This window comes from Homo sapiens, chromosome 2 (assembly GCF_000001405.40).
Source record: "Homo sapiens chromosome 2, GRCh38.p14 Primary Assembly".
NCBI lineage: Eukaryota > Metazoa > Chordata > Mammalia > Primates > Hominidae > Homo > Homo sapiens.
Window position 1 is genome coordinate 152,033,043 of NC_000002.12, and position 24,538 is coordinate 152,057,580.

At 43.6% G+C, this 24,538-nt stretch overlaps 1 protein-coding gene across 12 annotated transcripts in view, besides 5 other annotated features; it reads right to left on the reverse strand.

The window, feature by feature from the left end:
* CACNB4 (calcium voltage-gated channel auxiliary subunit beta 4) overlaps positions 1 to 24,538 on the reverse strand; it is a 266,397-nt gene that overhangs the window by 200,272 nt on the left and 41,587 nt on the right. The gene's annotated exons all lie outside the window — the stretch shown is intronic.
* Positions 1,288 to 1,863: an enhancer, noted in NCBI's record as "NANOG hESC enhancer chr2:152890844-152891419 (GRCh37/hg19 assembly coordinates)". NCBI's record gives its function as "activates a minimal SCP1, AML or CMV promoter by ChIP-STARR-seq in naive H9 embryonic stem cells {active_cell/tissue: H9 hESC(naive)}" and the evidence as "EXISTENCE:reporter gene assay evidence [ECO:0000049][PMID:30033119]".
* Positions 17,080 to 17,701: an enhancer, noted in NCBI's record as "OCT4-NANOG-H3K4me1 hESC enhancer chr2:152906636-152907257 (GRCh37/hg19 assembly coordinates)". NCBI's record gives its function as "activates a minimal SCP1, AML or CMV promoter by ChIP-STARR-seq in naive and primed H9 embryonic stem cells {active_cell/tissue: H9 hESC(naive and primed)}" and the evidence as "EXISTENCE:reporter gene assay evidence [ECO:0000049][PMID:30033119]".
* Positions 18,362 to 18,441: an enhancer, noted in NCBI's record as "active region_16643". NCBI's record gives its function as "activates an Ori minimal core promoter by ATAC-STARR-seq in GM12878 lymphoblastoid cells {active_cell/tissue: GM12878}" and the evidence as "EXISTENCE:reporter gene assay evidence [ECO:0000049][PMID:35858748]".
* Positions 18,562 to 18,741: an enhancer, noted in NCBI's record as "active region_16644". NCBI's record gives its function as "activates an Ori minimal core promoter by ATAC-STARR-seq in GM12878 lymphoblastoid cells {active_cell/tissue: GM12878}" and the evidence as "EXISTENCE:reporter gene assay evidence [ECO:0000049][PMID:35858748]".
* Positions 20,687 to 21,188: an enhancer, noted in NCBI's record as "H3K4me1 hESC enhancer chr2:152910243-152910744 (GRCh37/hg19 assembly coordinates)". NCBI's record gives its function as "activates a minimal SCP1, AML or CMV promoter by ChIP-STARR-seq in naive H9 embryonic stem cells {active_cell/tissue: H9 hESC(naive)}" and the evidence as "EXISTENCE:reporter gene assay evidence [ECO:0000049][PMID:30033119]".

Sequence of the window (24,538 nt, forward strand, 5' to 3'; positions counted from 1 at the left end):
AGTGAGGCAGTGGCAGCCAGGCAAGGCCCTGGAGAACAGCATGCCAAACAAGAGGAACAGACAGGGCCAAGGTCCCCAGGTGGGGAAGGGACTGGCATGCTTGAGAGCAGAAAGAAGACCCAGGCGGCTGGTTAAATAATGAATGAGGAGAAGCGGGGTGGGGGAATGAGGATGAAGAGGCATGCTTACACGTTTTTACAAAAGGGCAGCTTTTGACTTGCTGAAGCAAATGAAATGCTTCCATTAAATCCCCGCTTGGTGGTGTAGACGGGCTGCCACCACCTCTCTGAAGTGACTGAAAACAACAGGGAGGGGACTGAGGGGATGCGACCAGCATCCTAGAAGAGCAACTTCAGACTCCCTCCTTCAACTCCAGCAGCCACAGTTGCTTAGATACCCTTGTAGTTCAGGTCTCCTGAGGTCTCCACATGGCTTCCAGCTGCCTTTCTAGCACGTGAAGATCCTACCCTATCATCCTCTGCCATTTAAGGCGAGAGGCAGATTCACTGTGATCTGGGTAAATACCATTTCCAAAAAGGAAACCGGCACCCAAACCTCCCATCTTTTTATAAATTCTCCTGCACAGACGGTATAGTCTCAAAGGACGTAGGAGCCAAACTTGGGGAAAAAAAATTTTCTCCCCTATTTAGAAAGTTCTAAATAATCTGACACAACATTCAGCTAGTGGGGGTGTGAGAAAGTGGGAAGGAGGACTTTAAGGCCAAAGTCACATGAAATAAAGAGAAAAATGAAAAATGTAAGCTTTTGCCCTTTTGTGAGGACTTCTCTAATTCTCGTGGTATTTCAGATTTCCCTCAATCAAATCATTCACTCCTTCAGTTTGTAGGTAACAGACATTTCCCTTCCTTATTAACAAGATGCAGGTAGTTAGCAACATAATAGAAGCAAGAACTTTGTATTGCTTGGTGTGTCTGGGTCACATACTATTTTTAATTCCTGTCTCCTAACACCTGGGGGGGAAAATTAAGTTCAACAGTTCCTTACACAGGAAAAAAAAGAAATGAGCATTTCTCCCTCACTAACAGGCAGCACTTCCAAATAAAACCTGTCAGGCTTAAGAGCAAGATGGACTCGGAGTGGCTTTCTCCTCATTACTTGTCTCCCAACAGGTCTATTAAATGATCGGAATGCCCAGGGTTGGTACATTTAAATTTCATTTCAAATTAAAATCCCAACAGAAGTCACGTCTTGCAAAGTAGGTCTTAAAAATACTTCTATGCTGGACACATGAGACCTGCAGGGGAAGGAAAAGCAGAGAGTGGATGCAGGTGGCAGTACCTAGTGAACTAAAAGCTCTTGAAGTCTCCATTAGGGCCCTCACACAGGGCTCTGGTGAAGGGTGATAACAAGGAAGGGACCAGGCCACACAGCAGGGGAACTGAGAGCAAGGACAACGCTTATCCTGCAAGAGCAAGCTAACCTTGCTGCCTGCTCCGGCCTCTCCTTTATTTCAAGCCGTTACCACAAAATGGGCAAGCGGCTTCCCTTGCAGAAAATCCCCCATCATGAAAAGCATCGCATAAATTCCATTCTCACTTAACGATCTGTATATGAATTAGAGAATGTGGGTTTTGTTTTTGTTTTTTGTTTTCCTCTCTAGATGTTTGTAATCCTGCCTTTAAAACACCAGGGGATGGCATCCGATACAGAGTTGCTGCTTTCTACAACAGCACCCCCACAGTGCTCTTTTAAACACACTAACCCCTGGGGTAAGGAAAAAAAATTATGAGGAAAAGTGTTCCCTGGCTTCTTAGTCTCTAATAAGTACTGTGTGGTGCTGCTTCACTGGGATCAACTGGTTTCAACTTTCTATTCTCAGTGGCATCTACAGCAGGCTTGAGGCAGAACAGTTGACCAAAGGAATCGTGAGTGCAGCTGGAGTCCTGGGAAGTCCGCGGCAAAAGTATTGGCAGTGGTTGATCAAGTGGCACCTGCTGTTAAATGAACAAATTCCCCATTTCCAGACCTAATCACAAATTGGCAAGTGCACTTTATAATCCAATGCCCTTCAAAATCCCAAACCTCCGGGCAGGAGAAGGAAAGTGACGTTCAGTGAGAGACATAATGTCTGACATCAACTCCACCATGTTACAAGCAATAGCCAGATGCTTCACAGAAAGCAAGCACTTTCTTAAACGGATGATTTTCTTTTGTATATTTATTCACTGTCTTGCTCCAAAAATGATTCAAGGCAACTTTAAAAAATATATTCGCAGGCCGGGAGCAGTGGCTCATGCCTGTAATCCCAGCACTTTGGGAGGCCAAGGCAGGCAGTACACCTGAGGTCGGGAGTTCAAGACCAACTTGGCCAACATGGAGAAACCCCATCTCTACTAAAAATACAAAATTAGCCAGACATGGTGGCACATGCCTGTAATCCCAACTACTCAGGAGACTGAGGCAGGAGAATCGCTTGAACCCGGGAGGCGGAGGTTGCGGTGAGCTGAGATCGTGCCATTGCACTCCAGCCTGGGCAACAGAGCGAAACTCCGTCTCTCTCTCTCTTTCTCTCTCTCTCTCTCTCCCTCTCTCTCTCTCTTTCTCTCTCTCTCTCTCCCTCCCTCTCCCTCTCTCTCTCTCTCTCTCTCTATATATATATATATATGTATGTATGTATTAAGATGCACCTGATATGGATTAAGATTGTCCTTGTTAGACAAACCGCAAGAATAGCTCAGATTAACCAACAGACACTTCTCAAGCTTTTACCCCTCAAGCATTTGAGTTTAAAACTTCAAGAATAAATTAAATTCTCCATAAGATTTTTAAACTCCATCATATCATTGAGAATAAAACTGTTAAATGTGCACACTGTGTTCACCGCAGCATTATTCACAATAGCCAAGATGTGGAAGCAACCTAAATGTCCATCTATGCATGAATGGATAAACAAAATGTGGCGTATGCAGACAATATTATTCAGCCTTAAAAAAGGAGGAAATCCTGCCATATGTAACGTGGATGAAACTTGAAGACGTTAAGTGAAATAAGCCAGTCACAAAAAAGATACTGCATGATTCCACTTATATGGGGTATCCAAAGCAGTAAAACTCTTAGAAGTAGAAAATATAATGTGGTTGCCAAGCACCGGGAGGAGGTGGTAACAGGTAGTTGTTGTTCAATGGATATAGAATTTCAGTTTTGCAAGATGAAAAAGTTCTAGGGATCTGTTGCATAATGGACTGCATATAGTTAACACTGCTGTACTGTACACTTAAAAATGGTTAAAATGCTAAATTTTATGTTTTGTTTTGTTTTGAGAGTCTTGCTCTGTCTCCCAGGCAGGAGGGCAGTGGCAGAATCTTGGCTCACTGCAACCTCTGCTTTCCAGGTTCAAGCAATGCTCTTGCCTCCGCCTCCCAAGTAGCTGGGATTACAGGCGCGCGCCACCATGCCTGGCTAATTTTTGTACTTTAAGTAGAGACAGGATTTCACCATGTTGGCCAGGCTGGTCTCGAACTCCTGACCTTAGGTGATCTGCTCTCCTAGACTTCCAAAGTGCTGGAATTATAGGCATGAACCACTGTGCCTGGCCAGTAAATTTTATGTTACATGTTTTTTACCACATTAATTTTTTTTAAAGTGTTAAGTGTGGTGAAAGGCAGATTTCAGTGAGGATGTCGACCTCTAGAAGCAGACTTTCCAGAGTCTTGGAAGTAATATTTCTGGGTTACTTTAGGCTACTCAGACCATGTTTAGAGTATTCTGTCTTATTTTGGACACAACGGCCTTGGACCATGGCTGGAGGACATGTCAGTCTTGGCTATGCCTTCTAGTGTAACATAGAACAAGTATACTCTGCCATGACATGAGATTCCTTCGAAGAGTTTCACCTGACAAATATTAATTGAGAATCCCAGGAAGTGCACTAGATGCTAGAAAGCAGCTATCATGAACTTCAGCTTCAAAAAGGCAGTGAACCTGAGCAGAACTCTTATTTGGGTGTTTCTATCTCCAAACGTTCTTGATGGCCTTAGCCACAAGATGGCGCATGTAGACCATTTCCACACTTGCGGCTCAGGCCAGTTGATTCTTGCGGGGGCATAGGTTCCCAAGCACTTATGTAGGGTATTCTTCCCTGGGCTTCTGTTTTGTTACCTTCTCAATGAGTGATGTCTGAGAAGCTTGGTTTGGTTAGAAATAATATAATATCCTGCTTATCTCCTTTGAACAAGTACTCAAAGGTGGATATTAACAATAACACACTTGCTATACCTAATAATATAACAAGACTCTCCTTTGAATATGAATCAGGGAAGTGCTTCTGTGGCAATCTATATCCCGTCAATTTACAAACTGAGTGATTGCAAGAATAAATAAATCCTGCTTTGGCCCAAATGTCAATCTTTGCTAAAGAAATATGTCTGTGGACATTACAGAGGAATCGTGCCGTTCTTAAATCTACTTACACCCTGCTTCTGCAAATGCTTACGTATCTGACTTGTTTTAAGGTATTTCAAAGCCAAAAGAGAGGCAAGAAATAAATGCTCACACATTTTGAAGTATTCCATGAACAACTGAATAATGTGACCTTCTGACTCCCAGTGAGCCTAAATTTTTCTCATTCTTCTTGCTTAGACCAAAAGCACATATCCCCTCTCAGGTGAAGGCACAGCATTTAGGATGACACTCTTCTTTTCCTAAGGATGGGAGGGAGAGAAAGAAATGCTCTAGGGAGACATGGCCTCCCTCTGAGACCTAAAGGGAGGAGGGAAGATTTTTCTTCTCCCATTTGGTCAAAAGTCAGCCAGGGGAGCCACCGTGAGCCAAGACCTCAGCAGGCCTGCAGCACTGCTGCTCCCCCCTCATCCTTGGAGCTGCTCACCAACTGCTACAGCAGGGAGCTGGCCGGGCCCCAGCCTGCAGTGAACACAGAGCCAGGCTGCAACAGCTGGATGCAGAAGGGAACCACCCCCAAGGAGGCCGTGACAAAACGCAGGGCCCAGGGAATCTTCAGCATTCATCTGGCCAGGAAAACTGGGGAGGATCAGAGGGCCCCCAAAGAAATGCATGTCAGGAACCTACTGGGATCTACCATGCTGTATTTGGAGGCAGGAGGTGGGGGTAGCTTTCATAAATCCTGCCAATGGCAAAGTTCCTAAATTCTTCAAAGCATCAAGGATGCTGGCCTGCAATGGGAATGCAGAACAAAAAGTCTTGTAAAGTAAGGGGTTGGTGAGCTTGTAATTCTGGGGTTTGGTAACTCTCACACCAGAGTGTGCACAAGTTGCTGAGAACCACGCAACAGCCCTCCCCGGCCTTTTCCAAGTTCTGCTGCTTGCCTTTGGCCTAATGAGCCAAATTCAGACTGTATATCCCCAATGCAGCTTCTACTGACAGACAAGGGTTTGGCAAGAAGCTGGAATGCAGCTTGATTGCAGATAATGAATGTGTTCAGCAGAGATGATGAGCACCTGGGACACAGGCTTCTACCTCAGCACCGAGTCTGGCTGGGAGATGGAAGAGGATAGGTGTGCGTGAGCAGCTGGAGGCACAGAAGAGGAAAGGCCCACTACTCTGCTGCAGCCTGCTGGCTCGTATAACAGCTCATTAACAGCAGAGGCTGAGACTTCCTTTTCCTCTTTCCACAAAAGACATGGCAATAAAAGCAGGACAGGCTGCAAACTCAGCCATTTTCAAAGACTCATGGCATGTGAGATTGGGAGGAGGGTGACCAGCTGTGGCCACACAGATGGGGACAGAGGCCCTGACTGGTGCTAGGACACGTTAGTGGTGGAGAGGGACAGTTCCCTCAGGCCTTCCACCTCCCAGCCCAGGACACTCTGGACAGGAAATCTCCCCCTCTCTTCCCAGCCCTGTATGTCCCCACCCCAAGAGGGTGTGACACTTCCTCATGTTCCCTGCTGGCCCATTGGCTAGAGCTCTGGACGGATATAGAGGAAAGATAATACAGTAATTCAGAACTGAGGTCATTGCTTGCTTAGTTAATATAGGGATAATTAAACAGCATTTAAAGAAAATGGTTTAGCTGTATAAGCAAACATTTCCTTGTATTTAAAAAAAAGCAAGAAACATAGTTTTCTGAGGTCTCTACTTAAGAATCTTATTATTGGGCCGAGCGCGGTGGCTCACACCTGTAATCCCAGCACTCTGGGAGGCCGAGGCCGATGGATCACGAGGTCAGGAGTTCAAGACCAGACTGGCCAAGATGGTGAAACCCCATCTCTACTAAAAATACAAAAATTAGCCAGGTGTGGTGGTGGGTGCCTGTAATCCTAGCTACTCGGGAGGCTGAGGCAGAGAACTGCTTGAACCCGGGAGGCGGAGGTTGCAGTGAGCTGAGATCTCGACACTGCACTCCAGCCTGGGCGACAGAGCAAGACTCTGTCTCAAAAAAAAAAAAAAGAATCTTACTATTCCCTCAATGCTGAACCCAAACCTTCCCCTGACCAGTCTTTTGGAGGAAGCCTACACTTCTCCTACTCTGTTCACTTGCCAAGCAGCATATGGAGCCCTAGAATATTCTTGTTTTCATATAGGTTTTATCTTACATTTCCAACTACATTATTTGTTCTATGAGGATAAGAGCCTTGTTATATGCTCTATGTCTTAATGAAAACATCTGATAAAACATGAGTGATCACTCTGTGCATGGCAGGCAGGCAAGGCAAGGGAGTAGGGTGGGACCAAGCACTGATCACAGAAATGCAGGTATTCCTTCCAACCCTGGAAAAGTAGAGCGAAGCTCAGGGAAAACTACGTAAGTCCTCAGAAACATAGTCGAAGGCATGAAGTAAGCACTGAAGCAGACCATATGGAAAATAACATCTATTTTTCAAAAGAATTTAAAATAGAGAATGCAGAAAAAAAGAAGAAGTTTATGGCAATATGATTCTTGTGTACACCGAAGACATAATTTGTTGACAAAGATTAAAGTCACTTAATGGTCTTAAGGCAATGAGTATACTTTATATCCAAAAAGAATAAGAATTTTAATTCCACCTTCTATTTCTACAAAAATTGTACTGGCTGATAAGTGATGGCCCCCAGTTTTCATTGCGGCTAAATGGGAATGTCTCATTTATGGGCTATTCTGAATAAATTAGCTGGGAGTTTTTTTAAGTATCAAAAATACCAAGAGGTCTAACCCATATACTAGTTAAAAAGTAGAATTTTATACATCTGCTGAATCTGAAGGCTCATGATTCTCCTATCTCACAGTATTTAACTCCTACATTTTATAAAGAATTCAATGACATCTAGAATCTTTAAATTTATAAATATCTATCATTAAATCTGGCTCAGATAATAATTGAACCAAAGCATATAATGCCATGTCTATTCATGCCCTCACATTTCACTGATACTTTCTTCAGCTAATTAATTTTATTTATCTATTTGTATTATTTTATTTTATTTATTCATTTATTTTTTTGAGACACAGTCTTGCTCTGTCACCCAGGCTGGAGTGCAGTGGCACATTCTCGGCTCACTGCAACCTCCGCCCCCTGGGTTCAAGTGATTCTACTGCCTCAGCTTCCTGAGTAACTGGAATTACAGGCGCACACCACCATGCCCAGCTAATTTTTGTATTTTTAGTAGAGACGAGGTTTCACCATGTTGACCAGGCTGGTTTGAACTCCTGACCTCAGGTGATACACTCGCCTCGGCCTCCCAAAGTGCTAGGATTACAGGCGTGAGCCACCGTTTCCAGCCAGCTAATTAAATTTAAAAAGAAGTTTTCAAGATTAGCAAAACCTTTACAACTCATCTAACAATGTAGTCCTTTGTTCACATCTAAATGCATATGCTGCCGGTGCCAAATGATGGTGATTAACCCCTGGCTGATATTTTCTGTGAAACAAATTGGTATTTTCAAGACAATTTCCTAGTGAGAAAATGTCCACATAAACAAAATTGCATTTTGATCAAATCCCCATGTTGGTCATCTTGGCAAAGCCCTCAAAGACCATGGCAAAACAGCCACGACTGCATCGCCTGACCTCAGCCTTTTGGGCCCTTTGGGAGCAGACTCCCCACACTCCATGGGAGAAACACCATTAGGCCATTAGGATTTCAACCTCGGATAAAGCTCTTCCTCCTGTTTCTCCCCACAAACTTTTGGCACTCAGTATAATGATTGTGAGACACTAAGAAAGACAAATGATTTTTCTCTCTCTCATTTGCTAATCCCAAAGTATTACTTTATTCCCCTTTGGAACTTTTCACTGCAGAATCCTTTGTGTATAGAGAGATCTGTGTTCTTAAGCTCAAGAATCTGTTTAATAAACTATGAATTTAGAAGTCATCATCATGTTTTAGTTGCATAAGCTCAGTACTTATGGGAAACATTTCTGGAAGAAGGTAAAGGGCAATCTGTAATGGGGGCTATAAATTTCTGTTTAAATTTGCCACGAGTTATTAAATCCAGTTAAAATCATAATATGACAGTGGGAAGAAACATGAAGGTAGGCAGTTGGCCAGGCCAGGGGCTGAAGGGATATTATTGCTGGTTATGAGAGTTTACTAAAATCATTACCATGAAAGTTCTGAGTTTTGATAGGAGACTGGGGCACAGAAACTGCAGGAAGAAAGAAGCATCTGGACAAATCAGTCCATCACCAAAAGACATGGAGATTATATTGTCGGAGACATCTTCAGAAGTCCTCTGATTTTCTAAGGAAAACTGAATTAAAAAAACGGCTTTGGGTATGACTTCTCTTTCTTCTTCCAAAACCATCAAAAAGGGAGATATCTTGCAAGTGATTAAAAGATAGTGTTCTGTCTAGCACTATTGCAAGTAACATCCACATAGAAGTCAGAAGACCCTGCGTGAGCACTAATTCCCCTGTTACTTCCACCAGAACACAAACCCAAACAGGGCAGAGCCTCTGTCCTGCTCACGCCATCATTCCCAGCACTTGGAATAATGCCCAGCACATAGGAGGTGTTCAATAAATAGTTGAAGGAGTGAAAGAAAGAGCAAACTATGTGATCTGTTCAGTCTGCCACACTTCTAGCCAAACCTCACCCTAAATGCAGAGCCAGAATGGGCCATGCTGGGAAACAATACTCTATCTCCCCAGTGCCTAGGGCCAGGTAAATGACTCTGTAAGGGACTAAGTCCCAGAAGCTTCCAAACTAATTGCTACTAAGCATGGAGAGAAAGCCATAATGCCATTTTTTAGGTTCCCCTACTAACTAATCTAGGGTCACCAGCAAGGCCTCAAACAGCATCTTGCTCCTCTTCCCGCATAACCCTAGGAACGCTTTCCAATTCCATTTCCTTTCATCCGTCTGCTCCCTCCCCAGGTCTGGTTCTTATATGTCGTAGCTTGCCAGGGGGTTGGACCATATTTCTTGGAGCCTCTACTTCTTCAGGCTCCTGCTTAACAAAGGTCTGGACCTTTCGGGCCTCTGAGGATCCCTGAGTGAGTCCTACAGACCTGGCAAGCTACTCTTGGAAGTCAGGTTGAAGTCAAAACAGCTAGACTAGCAGTACCATTGACCCAAATCACCGGCTAAATGTACTACATTATTTACTGCTCATATTGTGTGGCCATCTGCTGATAGCAGATAATCATTTTAAAAAAAGATCAAAAAAAGAAAAATGGCACTTTATATCTTATGTTCCCCCTTCTGGCTGAAAGTGTTGTTAATTTTATTTATTTTATTTTTTTAGAGATGTTTTCAGACGCGTTTGAACCAGAGCAACTCCATCTTGAATAGGAGCTGCGTAAAATAAGGCCGAGACCTACTGGGCTGCATTCCCAGGAGATTAAGGCATTCTTAGTTACAGGGTAAGACAGGAGGTCGGCACAAGATACAGGTCACAAAGACCTTGCTGATAAAACAGCATGCAGTAACGAAGCCGGCTAAAACCCACCAAAACCAAGATGGAGAGGAGCGTGACCTCTGCTCGGTCTCACAGCTCATTATATGCTAATTACAATGCATTAGCGTGCTAAAAGACACACCCACCAGCACCACAACAGTTTACAGATGCCATGGCAACGTCAGGAAGTTACCCTGTATGGTCTAAAAAAAGGAGGAACCTTCAGTTCAAGGGAATTGCCCACTCCTTTCCCAGAAAACTCATGAATAATCCACCCCTTGTTCAGCATGTAATCAAGAAGTAACAATAAGTATAAGCAGCTGAGCAGCCCGTGCCACTGCTCGCCTATGGAGCAGACACTCTTTTATTCCTTTACTTTCTTAATACACTTGCTTTCACTTTATGGATTTGCTTCTAATTATTTCTTGTGCAAGATCCAAGAACGTTCTCTTGGGGTCTGCATTGTGACCCCTTTCCAATAACAATGAGGTCTCACTTTGTTATCTAGGCTGGAATGCAGTGGCATGATCATAGCTCACTGCCACCTCAAATTCCTGGGCTCAGGGATCCTCCCACCTTAGCCTCCAGAATGGCTGGGACTACAGGCACACACCACCATACCTGCATAATTTTTAAAATTTTTTGTAGAGATGAGGTCTTGCCATCTCCAGGCTGGTCTCAAACTCCTGGTCTCAAATGATCCTCCTGCCTCAACCTCCCAAAGTGCTGGGATTACACGTGTGAGCCACCGTGCTTGTCCCAGTTTTTTTTACCTTCACACTTAAAGTGAGAGGGACTATGTGCGTGTATACACGTATACATACATACATACACATATGTACACCTACTGGGGTTCTGTAACATATTTGTGGCAAGATGTCTCAAATTCACTTATTTCTTTTGTTAAATAAATTGACTGATAGAAACCACTTTTCAAGTATTAAATTGCTCAACTGAGCAACATCATTCTTCAAATGTTAAACTGTTAAATTGAGAGGGCTTCTTTTCCAGGCTTCACAAACATTTGATTCTATCAGATTTCAGTTAATTAAAAAAACCAAAAGAGCCGGGCTTGATGGCACATTCCTATAGTCCCAGTTACTCAGGAGACTAAGGTGAGAGGATCACTTGGGGCAAGGAGTTCAAGGCTGGCCTGGGCAACTCAGCAAGACCCTGTCTCTTAAAAATTTTTTTCAAAATCTTTCAAAAACCAATAGAATTACAAGAAAAAAATCCAACTAAATTACTGATGTAAAATATACTAAAAACAAAACGTGCTTCTTTCTCTGAAGCATGGAGAATATCTAAGATTACATCAAACACAAATGCACTTCTTTTAAAACAGATTTTATTTATTTTTATTTTTATTTTATTTTTCTGAGACGGAGTCTTGCTCTGTCGCCCAGGTTGGAGTGCAGTGGAGCAATCTTGGCTCACTGCAAGCTCCGCCTCCCAGGTTCAAGCAATTCTCCTGCCTCAGTCTCCTGAGTAGCTGGGATTACAGGTGCGCATCACCATGCATGGCTGATTTTTGTATTTTAGTAGAGATGGGGTTTCACCATGTTGGTCAGGCTGGTCTGGAACTCCTGACCTTGTGATCCGCCTGCCTCAGCCTCCCAAAGTGCTGGGATTACAGGCGTGAGCCACCGCACCCGGCCTTAAAGCAAATTATTAAAGGGAAATTTTCTATATAAAATCTACAACACAGGGTGGAGAAATCACTATTACTCCCAGGTAGGGAATTTATCAAGCACATCCTAATAATTAAAAACATTTAAAGGCCACATACAAATAAAAACTACTTAAAATGAAATATGTCCAATATTTTCCATCCCACACCCTTTGTTTGGGTCATTTTCTTTGGCTGGAATGAGTTTTCCCTCATCTTTGCCATCCTTTCATGAGCCTGGCCACCATGGCAGGTCCACAGCCTGACTCACTCAACTGCTACCGTGGGTCTCGTCTCCAATAAGAGACCATGAAAAACCCAAGGCCAGTTTCATTCTTCAAAATTTCCAGAGCACTTTGCACCCAAAAAGTTAACAATAATAAAAGTGTGCTAAACTGAATTGAAGCAGGGGAAAGAGAAGATGGGGAAGAGACGGTGGGGGGTTGGTGGGGCGGAGGAGAGAGATTTAGTGGAGAGAAAGGAGGATGTGAAGCAAGGGCATGAGATGATATTGGTCTGGCTTACAATTTCAAGCCAGAAAAAAAATGATTGCCACCACATAACTATGCCTAGCACATACAACTACATAAATACATGTACATATGTATGGATATGGAGAGGCATCATTGGCCAATTTTTTTTCAGTGCTTTCACATGCAGATATGCTTTTAAAGATAAGGACTGGGAATATACCAGTGTTTACAGCAGCGTTAGTCACAGTAGCCAAAAGGTAGAAACAGTCCAAGTGTCCATCAACAGAGGAGTAGCTAAAGACAATGTGGTATATACATACAACAGAATATTATCTAGCCTTAAAAAGGAAGGAAATCCTGTCTCATGCTATGACATGGATGAACCTTGAGGATATCATGCTACGTGAAATAAGCAGTCACAAAAGGACAAATATTGTGTGATTCCATTTATATGAGCTACCTACAGTAGTCAAATTTATGGAGACAGAAAGTAGAAGAGTGGTCACCAGGAGCTGGGAGGAGGAGCAAAAATTCTGCATCTAATGTACTTAGTGCCATTGAATGTATACTTAAAAATGGTGAAAATGGTAAATGTTATGGATATTTTACCACATTTTAAAAAAAAAAAGACAAGGAATGAAAAGGTGGATCAAAGTACACCCTCAAAGTCTTATAAGTAGCCTCTTCTCCCTCTCCCTCACGCAACCTCCAAGAGCACAGACTGGAATTCCCAGTCCTACAGTTCCAAGAGAGTTCAGACGGTACCTTAGGCATAGCTGTGCATCCCGCAGCTCTAAATACAGTGACTCGCAGCTAGCAGGGATTCATTAAACATTTGCAGATTCAATGAAAAGGAAAAAAACACAAGTAATGAACAGTTGGAAAGATTTTTTTAGAACATAGCTTGAAATAGAGGGGATGAAAAGTTCTGATAAATGAGCTAGAATGTAGGCAGATTGGAAATCAACAAGTCTTGGTCCTTAGAGTAACTGAGAATCAATGGAAGGATGGAAAACTTTTTCTTTAATAACAACCTCTATTATAATAAGAGAAAAATAAATTGATCATATAGAAATAAAATCAACATTAGTTAGCTTTTTAGATAAACAAGAACAAAAATGAGTTATTAAGAAGGAAGTGGCAATTATTTTACCTGGAAACTCTGATTATATAACAGTATATTTTTATATCATATGGATTGTCCATTCAGGGGAGGCTAGAATGGCCCAGAACACGTAGCACCCCTTTTCTATATGTGAGCACAGGCAGAAACATCACCAAAATTCCTTCCTGGAAAAAGACAGCTTATTAGAAACACAAATGCACACTGTGGCTCAGGAAGGTAAAAAGAGGTTAAATTACAAAAATGTGAAAGCAGCACCTTTGGCCTAGAGCAATTTTACAGAACAATCACTAAGATGATAATCTCTCTATAATTTCTTGCCTACAGCTATGGCTGGTTTCAACTTGACTGCTGCAAACAGGAGAATCTATTTTGCCTTTTATAAAATCTGTCTCTCCTCCTTCCATCTCACCCTCATTTCCTTTCTGGTTTAATTCTCCACCGTGACTACTCACAGAGTTCTATCTATTCAGCACTACACTTTGACCACTGGAAGTCCACACCTAAGACAGTCCTTATTTCTGCCCTTTTAAGATGTCGCCCTAAGCAGAGGAGAAGCAGGTAAGCTCTGCCTGTTGAGCTGTAGCCAGGGGAAAGGAGATGAGAATTCTGCCTGGTTTTCAGCAAACCTTGACTTTTTAAATTAATTAACCCTGAAATTCATCACAGGGTTATCATCACAGGCAGCTTGTCCAAGCTCAAGTATCTGCACTGAACTGTCTCCAGGCGCTACCACCCAGTTAGGAAAAAGGGTCTCTGACTATCCTGGGCTATGAGCACTGAACTTCTGCTAAAAAAAGATTCAGGCAAAGTGAAATTTCTTCACCTCAACATTATTGAGATGGAGTAGGGATCCCTCTTAGGGGCCTCCCCAGCTTCCTCTCAGCCTGAAAATAAAGAAAAATTTGAGTCCCTTCAAGGGAAATTCTGGGTACCTAGCTAGCCATGCAGCCAGCAACTAAGGAAATGAATAAATAACCTGCTAAGCAAGAAGGTAAAAATAGCGTAACAATAGTCACCCAAGTACATTAGACTCACGAGATGCTTGGTTCCCTATAGAAACTAAAAATAACATCTTGACATATGTCCCTGAGTCGTTTTTCAGAAACCCAAACCCTTACCAGATGGAAAATGTCAACCGCTGTCACACAGACCTCAAATAAGGGGGAAATGAAGACTGAACCCTGAGGACAGTTCTTTGTTGTCAATTTCTTCCTGAGGGGCCTAGAGAGAGTTATGCCCACAGGCCAAACCCTGACATTCCTTCCTGCTGACCCCAAGTTTTCAGATGAATTCTTACTTCCTTAACCAATTGCAAATCAAAAAATCTTTGAATCCACATACGACCTGTAACCTTCACTTCAAGATATCCCATCTTTTTGGGCCAAACCAGTGTATAATACCCATGTATTGATTTACGATTATGCTTGTAACTTCTGCTTTCTTGAAATGAACCCCTGCCTTTAAAACTAAAACCCCTCAGTTGTAGCCAGGCACGGTGGCTCACGCCTGTAATCCCAGCACTTTGAGAGGCCAAGGAAGTCTGATCACTTGAGGTCAGGAGTTTGAGACCAGTGTGACCAACACAGTAAATTAAAACCCTATCTCTACTAAAAATACAAAAATTAGCTGGGCATGGTGGCAGGCACCTGTAATCTCAGCTACTCAGGAGTCTGAGGCAGGTGAATTGCTTGAACCTGGGAAGTGGAGGTTGCAGTGAGCTGAGATTGAGCCACTCCACTCCAGCCTGGGTGACAAGGCAAGACCCTGTTTCAAAAACAAAACAAAACAAAACAAAACATCTCTTGCTTGTAAGCTATTGGAGAGTTCAGGTCTTAAGCATTCGCTGCTCAATTCTCTGTTTGGCACCCTGCCACAAACGCCTAACTTTCTCTCCCTGCAAATCCTAGTATCAGTGTTTGGATTTTTGTGCATGCTGGGTGAGAGGACTCAAGTTCAGTTGGGTAACACTGCTGACATCGTGGACCAGATGACTCTTTGTTATGGTGGGCTGTCTGTGCATTGGAGAATGTCTGACAGCATCCCTGGTCTCTACTCACTAGATGTACTACTCACTAGCACCCCCTAGATGTAACAACAAAAAATGCCTCTAGACATTACCAAAAGTTCCCTGGGGGGCAAAATCACCCCAGCTGAGAACCCGTGGGTTAAAGTGAGATTCCACCCTGCTGCCCACTACCATCAGAAACTTCTATCTGAATGCTCTTCACCCATCCCCACCTGCGCTATTCCAGATAACATGTGTTACATCCAGAAGGGGCCATCAGCAGACGGCCAGGCAGAATCCAAGGGAGAAAGAGAATCTGTCCAATAGGAAACCAACTGGCCTCCACTTCATCCCCACACTAAAAGGGAGAGAATAAAAAGTACCTGCAACACTTGTCTCCTGACGATGAGAGAAGTTGGCAGAGCTAGCACTTTGTTGGCCACCTTCTCTCCCACCTTATTCTTTGCCAATAAGGATTTACCCAGGATGTGAGCAGGAGAGACAGCTCTCTACAGAGAGAAGCGTGTCCCTCAGGACCTGGCCTGCACCCATGGGATGGAAACTCTGCCCTCTAGTCCAGCCTTGCAGTCCACTGGTTATAGGACCTTGGGCAAATCATTTAATTTTGCTGGATTTCTTTTTCTTCAGCTGTAAAGTGAAAGAGCCAAATCTTAGCCCTTCTCTGAGGTTGCTTCTAGATCTAAAGTACTACTATTTTAGGGACCAACTGTTGGGGAGGGTAAAAGAAAGAAGAGAGCAGATGGAGGCAGAAGAACCAAAGAAAGCACTGGAATACTCTCAGGTGACTGTATGGTGTGCACAAGAGAGGGCATGAGCTAGGTTTTTAAGAGAAATATGCAAGCTCCAGGCCATTGGTAACAATCAATTGCAATTTCTAGGATAAAGAAGGAAGAATTCATAAGCGGTAGCCTTGTATGTTTTTCAGCACTCCCTATATCTTTACCCATCATAACTTGTTTTCCTGTTCATACCTTGATACCATTCTCTCCCCCATTTGCATTCTCTCTTTTTTTTTTTTAAACTTTTTTTTGTTTTGAGTCTCACTCTGTTGCCCAGGCTGGAGTACAGTGGCACAATCTCGGCTCACTGCAACCTCCACCTCCCAGGTTCAAGCAATTCTCTTGCCCCAGCCACCCAGGTAGCTGGGATTACAGGTGCATGCCACCAGTACTGGCTAATTTTTTTATTTTCAGTAGAGATGGGGTTTTGCCATGTTGGAACTCCTGACCTCAAGTGATGTGCCCGCCTCAGCCTCCCAAAGAGCTGGGATTACAGGCGTGAGCCACTGCACCCGGCCTGCATTCTCTTTCCCTCTCGTTTCACAACCGTATTTCTCCTTCTCATTCTTTTTTCAGATCCCTTTATTTCTTCTCATTCATTATAATGATTATTTTTCTGTGGCTCTCTTGCTCACTCTCTCTCTTTCCTTCTTTCCTTTTTTTCTTCTCCCTTCCTCATTTTCTCTCTCTCCCTGACCTTCTTCACCATAAGAAGGAAGTAGGTCACCAGCCACAGCCCTAGATTCTGTCTCCCTATAATATCCGAATCTACAGAAAGAAAGAAAGGCTGTGTTCTAAAGCATGAATCTTCCACATGGAGCAGCAAGGGCTTACACAGGTGCCCAGGCGACAAGCTAACTTCCTCTTTTAGGCTATGAATTGATAAACCAATAAAAGAAACCATTTTATTCCTTTTAGAGCGTTCAAGTTAAGACCATGTTGGTTTGACTGGTGACTGTCATTAACCTACAGTGAGGAACTTCTACTGAGGGCCAAATGTGTCGACTTGTCTGCAAGGCAACTGCATCTCAACCAACCAGACCACAGTATGGAGATGGGACACCCAAATGTTTTAATCTGGTCTGCAGAATCCCAGCATGGGTCAGTCTGCTGAGTGGATGTATCTTGGCCAAGCTGGCATTTGGCATGTTGGGTGAAAGCCCCAGGTTTTTTGTGAAATACCATTATCACAGCTGCCCTGGACAGATGACTTTCCAAAGTGACATAGTGTGCTGGGCCCGCTGCCTGTCACGTAAAGACGAGGAAAGAAAGTTTCCGGGTTCTCCCACACACAATTCAGCCCTCACTTTGCCTTCCATCCTTTTGGCACACTGGCTGGTCAGAAATGTGATCATCTGCTATTGATGAAGCGGACACAACCTCTAAAAGAGAGCTCTTTGGAATGCTGGACATAAGAGGAGAGAAAATCACCCACTAGATTTACTCTAAATGAGCCACATCAAATGCAACATGAACAAGAACCTCTAATCAGTTGCAATCAAATGAAAAGAGACTTCCTGGAGAGTAACAGCCAGATGGAAAGTTAAAGTCGTTCAGACCATTAACATTCCACTAATGCTCACTGCTTTTTTAACAAGCAAATGGAGCCAGGTTTGGTAGAGGAAAGGAAAATGCAAGACCAGTGCAGCGGCTCACACCTGCAATCCCAGCTCTTTGGGAAGCTGAGGTAGGAGGATCACTTAACCCCTGAAGCTTGAGGCTGCAGTGAGCCATGATTGTGCCATTGCACTCCGGCCTGTGTGACAGAGCAAGACTCTGTCTCTAAAAAAAATTTTTTTTTAATGCAGGCATATCCACTTGTGGGGTTTTTCTGCTTGTTTGTTTGTTTGTTTTGAGACAGGGTCTCACTTTGTCACCCAGGCTGGAGTGCAGTGGCACAATCTTGGCTCACTGCAGCCTCGATCTCGATCTACCGGGTTCAAGTGATCCTTCTGCCTCAGGTCCCCAGGTAGCTGGGACTACAGGTGCACGTCACCACATCCAGCTAATTTTTTTTATTGACACAAGGTTTCACCATGTTGCCCAGGCTGGTCTTGAACCCCTGAGCTTAAGTGATCTGCGCACCTCGGCCTCCCAAGTGCTGGGATTACAGATGTGAGCCGCTGGGCCCAGCCCACATCCACTTTTTCTAAAACACCACCACCAACCACAGAAAAAAACCCTCAAAAACCACATACAATGACCTAATGGAGAGACAGGTGACTGGTGAAGAAATTTACCCAGGGAGGTCCTTTTCCTTGACCGCCCCCCATCCCTACCCAGCGGCCCAGCTTTCCCTTTGGCTTTTTACTATCAACTTTTTTTTTGAACAGTATTATTGAAATATAATTCACATACCATTCAATTCACCCATTTAAAGTGCATAATCAACAGTTTAGTATATTCAGAGTTGTGCTGCAACTATCACCACAACCAGTTTTAGATTATTTTAATTACCCCAAAGAGAAATACTTGGTATGGACTGAATATGTCCCCACAAAATACATATGTTAAGCCCTAATCTCCAGTGTGATGGCATTTGGAGATGGAGCGCTCAGGAGGTGATCAGATCATGAGGGTGAAGCCCTCCTGATGGGGTTAGCGTCCTTCTAAGAAGAGACAGGAGAGGGCTTGCTTCCTCTCTCTCTGCTCTCAGCCATGTGAGGATGTGAAAGTACAAGAAGAAGACAGTTGTCTGCAAACTGAAAGAGGGCTTTCAACAAGAACCCAAACATGCTGGTACCAGTATCATGGACTTTCAGCCTCCAGAACTTTGAAAAGTAACTTTCTGTTGTTTAAGCCACCCATCTATGGTAATTTGTCATGGCAGCCACAGCAAACTAAACAACTCTGTTCCCTTTACCAGTCACTCCCCAATCCCTCCACTCCCCCGACCTTGGCAATCACTAACCGTTCTGTCTCTCTAAATGTGCCTATACTGGACTTTTCCTATAAATGGTAACATAAAATATGTAGTTTTTGTAGTTTATGTAGCATTAAAGTACATATAATATGTAGTTTTTCATAATATGAAGCCCTCTTGTATCTGGCTTCTTTCAGACATAGTGTTAGCATAATATTTTCAAGGTTCACACATATTGTAGCACATCATCAGTACAGCTGCTCCTCCGCTTATGGCGGGGTTACATCCCATTGAAAATACCATAAATTGAAATTGCATTTAACACATCCAGCCTACTGAACATCATAGCTTAGTCTAGCCTACCTTAAGTGTGCTCAGAATACATATGTTAGCCTACAGGTGGGCAAAATCATTTTAACACGAAGCCTATTTTATAATAAAGTATTGAATGTCTCATGTAATTCATTGAATACTGTACTAAAAGTGAAAATCAGATTATTCACATTATCTCTTTTTGTTTTTTGAGACAGAGTCTCACTCTGTCGCCTAGGCTGGAGTACAGTGGCGTGATCTCGGCTCACTGTAACCTCCACCTCCCGGGTTCAAAGCAATTCTCATGCCACAGCCTAAGTAGCTGGGACTACAGGCACACCATTCCTGACTAATTTTCGTATTCTAAGTAGAGACAGGGTTTTGCCACGTTGGCCAGGCTGGTCTTGAACTCCTGACCTCAGGTGATCCGCCCGCCTCGGCCTTCCACAGTGCTGGGATTACATGCATGAGCCACCACACCTGGCTGTTCACATCATCTTAAAGTTAAACCATCTTAAGTCAAGGACCCTCTGTACTTCATTCCTTGTTATTGCCAAATAATATTCTATTGTATAGAAATACCATATGTGGGCCAGGAGCGGTGGCTCACGCCTGTAATTCCAGCACTTTGGGGGGCTGAGGCAGGTGGATCCCAAGGTCTGGAATTCAAGACTACCCTGGCCAACATAGTAAAACCCCATCTCTACTAAAAATACAAAAAAAAATTGGCTGGGCGTGGTGGCAGGCACCTGTAGTCTCAGCTACTTGGGAGGCTGAGGCAGGAGAATCGCTTGAACCCGGGAGATGGAGGTTGCAGTGAGCCGAGATCACGCCACTGCACTCCAGCCTCGGTGACATAGCAAGACTCTGTCTAAAAAAAAAAGAAATATCATATATGATAGTGAGATATAATAAGAGACATATATTTTGTCTCTGCCTCTAATTCCTGGCACATAGTTCCTAAAGCCCTTGGAATCTCTAGAACTCTGGAACTATAGTTTTGAATATAAAAAAGATATTCAAAAGTGAATATCTGATGGCTGAGAACCCCTAGGTAGCTTCAAGAAGGGGGCTGGTCAGGAAAGACCAGGACATGTCTAGAGGCCTGTAACTTTCAACCTCACCCTCAACCTCTGGGAAGGGAGCGGGAGCTGTAAGTTGAGTTGATCACTAATGGACAGTGATGTAGTCAATCATACCTACTTAATGAAGCTCCATAAAAAACCAAAGGGCAGGGTTTGGAGAGCTTGTGGATTGCTGAGTTTGTGCCTAGAGGGTGACACGCCTGGAGAGGGCATGGAAGCCCCATGTTCCCCACCCATCCAACTAGCTGTTCGATTGTATCCTTAAAATATTCTTTATAATTAACCAGTAAATGTAAGTGTTTCCCTGGGTTCTGTGATCTGCTCTAGGAATTTTTTTTTTTTTTTTTTTGAAACAAGGTCTTGCTCTGCCACCCAGGCTAGAGTGCAGTGGTGTGATCACAGCTCACTGCAGCCTCGACCTCCTGAGCTCAAGAGATCCTCCCACCTGAACCTCCAGACTAGGTGGCACTACAGGCACATGCTACCATGCTCAGCTAATTTTTCAATTTTTTGTAGAGATAGAGTCTCACTATGTTGCCCAGGCCTGTCTCCAACTCCTGGGCTCAAGCAATCCTCCTGCCTCACCCTCCCAAAAGTGCTGGGATTACAGGCATGAGCCATCACACCTGGCCCTGCTCCAGCAAATTAACTGAACCCAAAATGAGGGTCATGGGAATCCCTCAGTTAGAAGTATAGGTAACAATCTATTACTTGCGATTGGCATCTGAAACTGGGGGAGAGGTGCTGACTGAGCCCTCAACATGTGGGATCTGATCCTGTCTTCAAGTAGCTAGTGTCAGAATTGAGTAAAATTATAGGATACCCAGTTTGCACCTGCTGGAGGATTGTTTGGTGTGTGGAAAAAACCCTCTACACTTAAGAAGTATTGTGTTGGCCGGGCGCGGTGGCTCACGCCTGTAATCCCAGCACTTTGGGAGGCCGAGACGGGCAGATCACGAGGTCAGGAGATCGAGACCATCCTGGCTAACGCGGTGAAACCCCGTCTCTACTAAAAATACAAAAATTAGCCGGGCGTGGTGGCGCGCGCCTGTAGTCCCAGCTACACGGGAGGCTGAGGCAGGAGAATGGCGTGAACCCGGGAGGCGGAGCTTGCAGTGAGCCGAGATCGCGCCACTGCACTCCAGCCTGGGCGACAAAGCAAAACTCCGTCTCAAAAAAAAAAAAAAAAAAAAAAAATAGTATTGTGTTGAGTGACTGTATGACAGTAGAGGAGAAAAATTGTTTATTTTTTCTTCAGACCATATTTTACTTATCCACTCATCAACTGATGACCATTTGGGTTGTTTCCTTTTTTGTCTATTACGAATAATGCTGCAAAAAACATTCTTGTATAGGCTTTTGTGTGGACACATGCCTTCATTTATCCTGCATATGTACCTAGTAGTGGACTTGCTGGGTCATAAGATAACTCTATACTTAACCTTTTCAGAAACTGCCAAACTTTTCCATGGTAGTTGCACCATTTTACATTCCTACCAGCAGTGTATGAGGATTCCAATTTCCCCATATTCTTGCCAAAAATTATCTGTCTTTTTTATTATAGCCATCCTAGTGGGTGTAAAGTGGCATGTCATTGTGGTTTTGAATTGCATTTCCTCCTGGTGACTAATGATACGGAGCACTTTTTTTTATGTGATTATTGGCCACTGGTATGTCTTCTTTGGACAAATGTCTATTCCTATCCATTGCCTATTTTTGAAACGTCTTTTCTACTGAGTCTAAAAGTTCTTTATATATCCTAGACACAAGTCCCTTATCAGATATAAGATTTGCAAATATTTCCTCCCAGTCTGTGGGTTGTCTTCTTTTTTGTTTTAAGACAGAGCCTTGCTCTGTCACCCAAGCTGCAATGCAGTGGCACAATCTCAGCTCACCGTAACCGCTGCCTCCCAGGTTCAAGGGATTCTCATGTCTCAGCCTCCCGAGTAGCTGGGACTATAGGCACATGCCACCACACTTGGCTAATTTTTGTATTTTTAGTAGAGACAGGGTTTCACCATGTTGGCCAGGCTGGTCTGGAACTCCTGACCTCAAGTGATCGGCCTGCCTTGGCCTCCCAAAATGCTGGGATTACAGGTGTGAGCCACCATGCCTGGTCTTCTTCTTACTTTCTTGATAGTAACCTTTGAAGCACAGAAGTTTTTAATTTTGATGAGCTCCAAATTATTCATTTTTTTCTTTGGTTACTTGTGCTTCAGTGCCATATCTTAAGATCAACTTTAAACAAGCTTTTTTCAGCTTGTATTGTCAGTTGTAGGCATTGATTCTTTTCCACTTTAGCAGCAGGGCCTCTCCTTACCCTGACTCACTCACTTATGGAGACATGGCAGACCACACAGCCCACAGGCAATGCAAGACATGAATGGATTTGCACACCCCACTGAGTCCTGCTGTGCTCTGATTATCACTTTGATTATTACTGAACACTGCAAAGTCTAGATAAGGCTTTTAAGCTTCTGGAGCCTTTCAGAATTGTTAATTAATCCTTAAAATAGCTTTGAAGGCTGATTTCCCCCCTGATTCTAAGAAGATAATTAAGAAGCTATTGCCAAGACAAATAACTTTTTTCGGAGGAACTCTAACCTCTGAAATTTTCAAACTTTGACTACTAAGGAGGAAGGAGACAGAAACTGGGCAAAGTGTGACAAAGAGCAGTCAAGGCACAGCAAGTGAGTGGCGACCGAAGCTCAGTATGTTTATATCCTCACTCGCCTGTTACTATCATCACCTCCTCACATGGTTTCTACTCACCACCACGCCCCTGTGACTACCCACCACACTGAAGCCAGAAGGACCATATTTAAAAATCTGGTTATACCAATTGGTTCATCAATACCCGCAAGATTTTTTAGAAATTAGATATTTTCGGCTGGGCACGGTGGCTCACCCCTGTAATCCCAGCACTTTAGGAGGCCAAGGCAGATGGATCACGAAGTCAGGAGATCAAGACCATCCTGGCTAACACGGTGAAACCCCGTCTCTACTAAAAATACAAAAAATTAGCCAGGCATGGTGGCAGGGCCTGTAGTCCCAGCTACTTGGGAGGCTGAGGCAGGAGAATGGCATGAACCCAGGAGGCAGAGCTTGCAGTGAGCCAAGATCACGCCACTGCACTCCAGCCTGGGTGACAGAGTGAGACTCTGTCTCAAAAAAAAAAAAAAAGAAATTAGAAATTTTCAGAAATATCGTGTCCCCAAATGCTTTGTCAGTTTATCCGCTACAATTATCTCCCATGTTTCACACACTCAAGCCTCATCAACTTTCTCCAGGTTTACTAAAACCACTGCACTACTAGAAACTCCTTTGCTCTGGAAGGTACCTTCCTTCTGCTGCTCACACGGGAAGACCTAGACATGCCACCCCCTAGTGACGTCTTCCCAGCTTTGCTAGGCAATTAATAGACTCTACCTGTGTGTGATGCCCTTGGCATTTTCTTCATAGTTCTATTATTATTATAACCCAGATGGCAACTGGAATCATGCTGCTCTTTATGCTCCAGTTACCACTGCTTGCACCACAACTCCACATCCTGTGGAAAATTTAGTACCCATTCAGGATGTCTGAAATCCCTAGACAATAAGGCGAGAATGGTGATTATCCTATGGATACTGTTACCTCCAACTTTCTGCCCTCATTGACTTCTTGTTCTCTGCTATGTGTCTTGTGACTATCCCTTACTTTTACAAACATAGACCTCAACTCCTTATGCTGATTTCCACTGAAAGCTCTGATAGCAAGCCTCTAAGATGGCCCCCAAAGATCTCCACCTCCCAGTATTCCTAGTCATGTACAATCCTCTTCTCATGAGTAACCAACAGAATACGGCAACATTGAGGGATGTCACTCCCCTAATCAATACAAAAGATAGTGATTGTCATCTTGTTATTAATAGCAGACTCTCTCTCACTGGCTGGAGGTCCATGTATTAATAGTAAGGAACTTAGGGTGGTCTCCTGTCAACAGCCAGCAAGGAACCGAGACCCTCAGTCCAACACACCTTAAGGAACTGAATGCTGTCAAAATCCATGCAAATGAGCTGAGAAGCAGATCCTTCCCACAAATCCTCAGATGAGACCCCAGGTCTAGCTGACACCCTCATTGCAGCCTTGTGACTACAGGTGATACAGAAGACACAGCTGAGCCATGCTTAGATTCCTAAGCCACAAAAATTAGGAGAAAACAAATGTGTGTTATTCATGCAACAATAATTAAGGAATACAAAAACCTAAAAATAAACAAACTGCCCCTTCACTTGTGACTTCTGTGTATACAGAAGACTTTATTCATGGGCTAGGGAGACAGGGAGGCTTTACATTACAAAAATCCTAAAAGCACAAAACTGAATACCGGACATTTAGTCTGTAAGA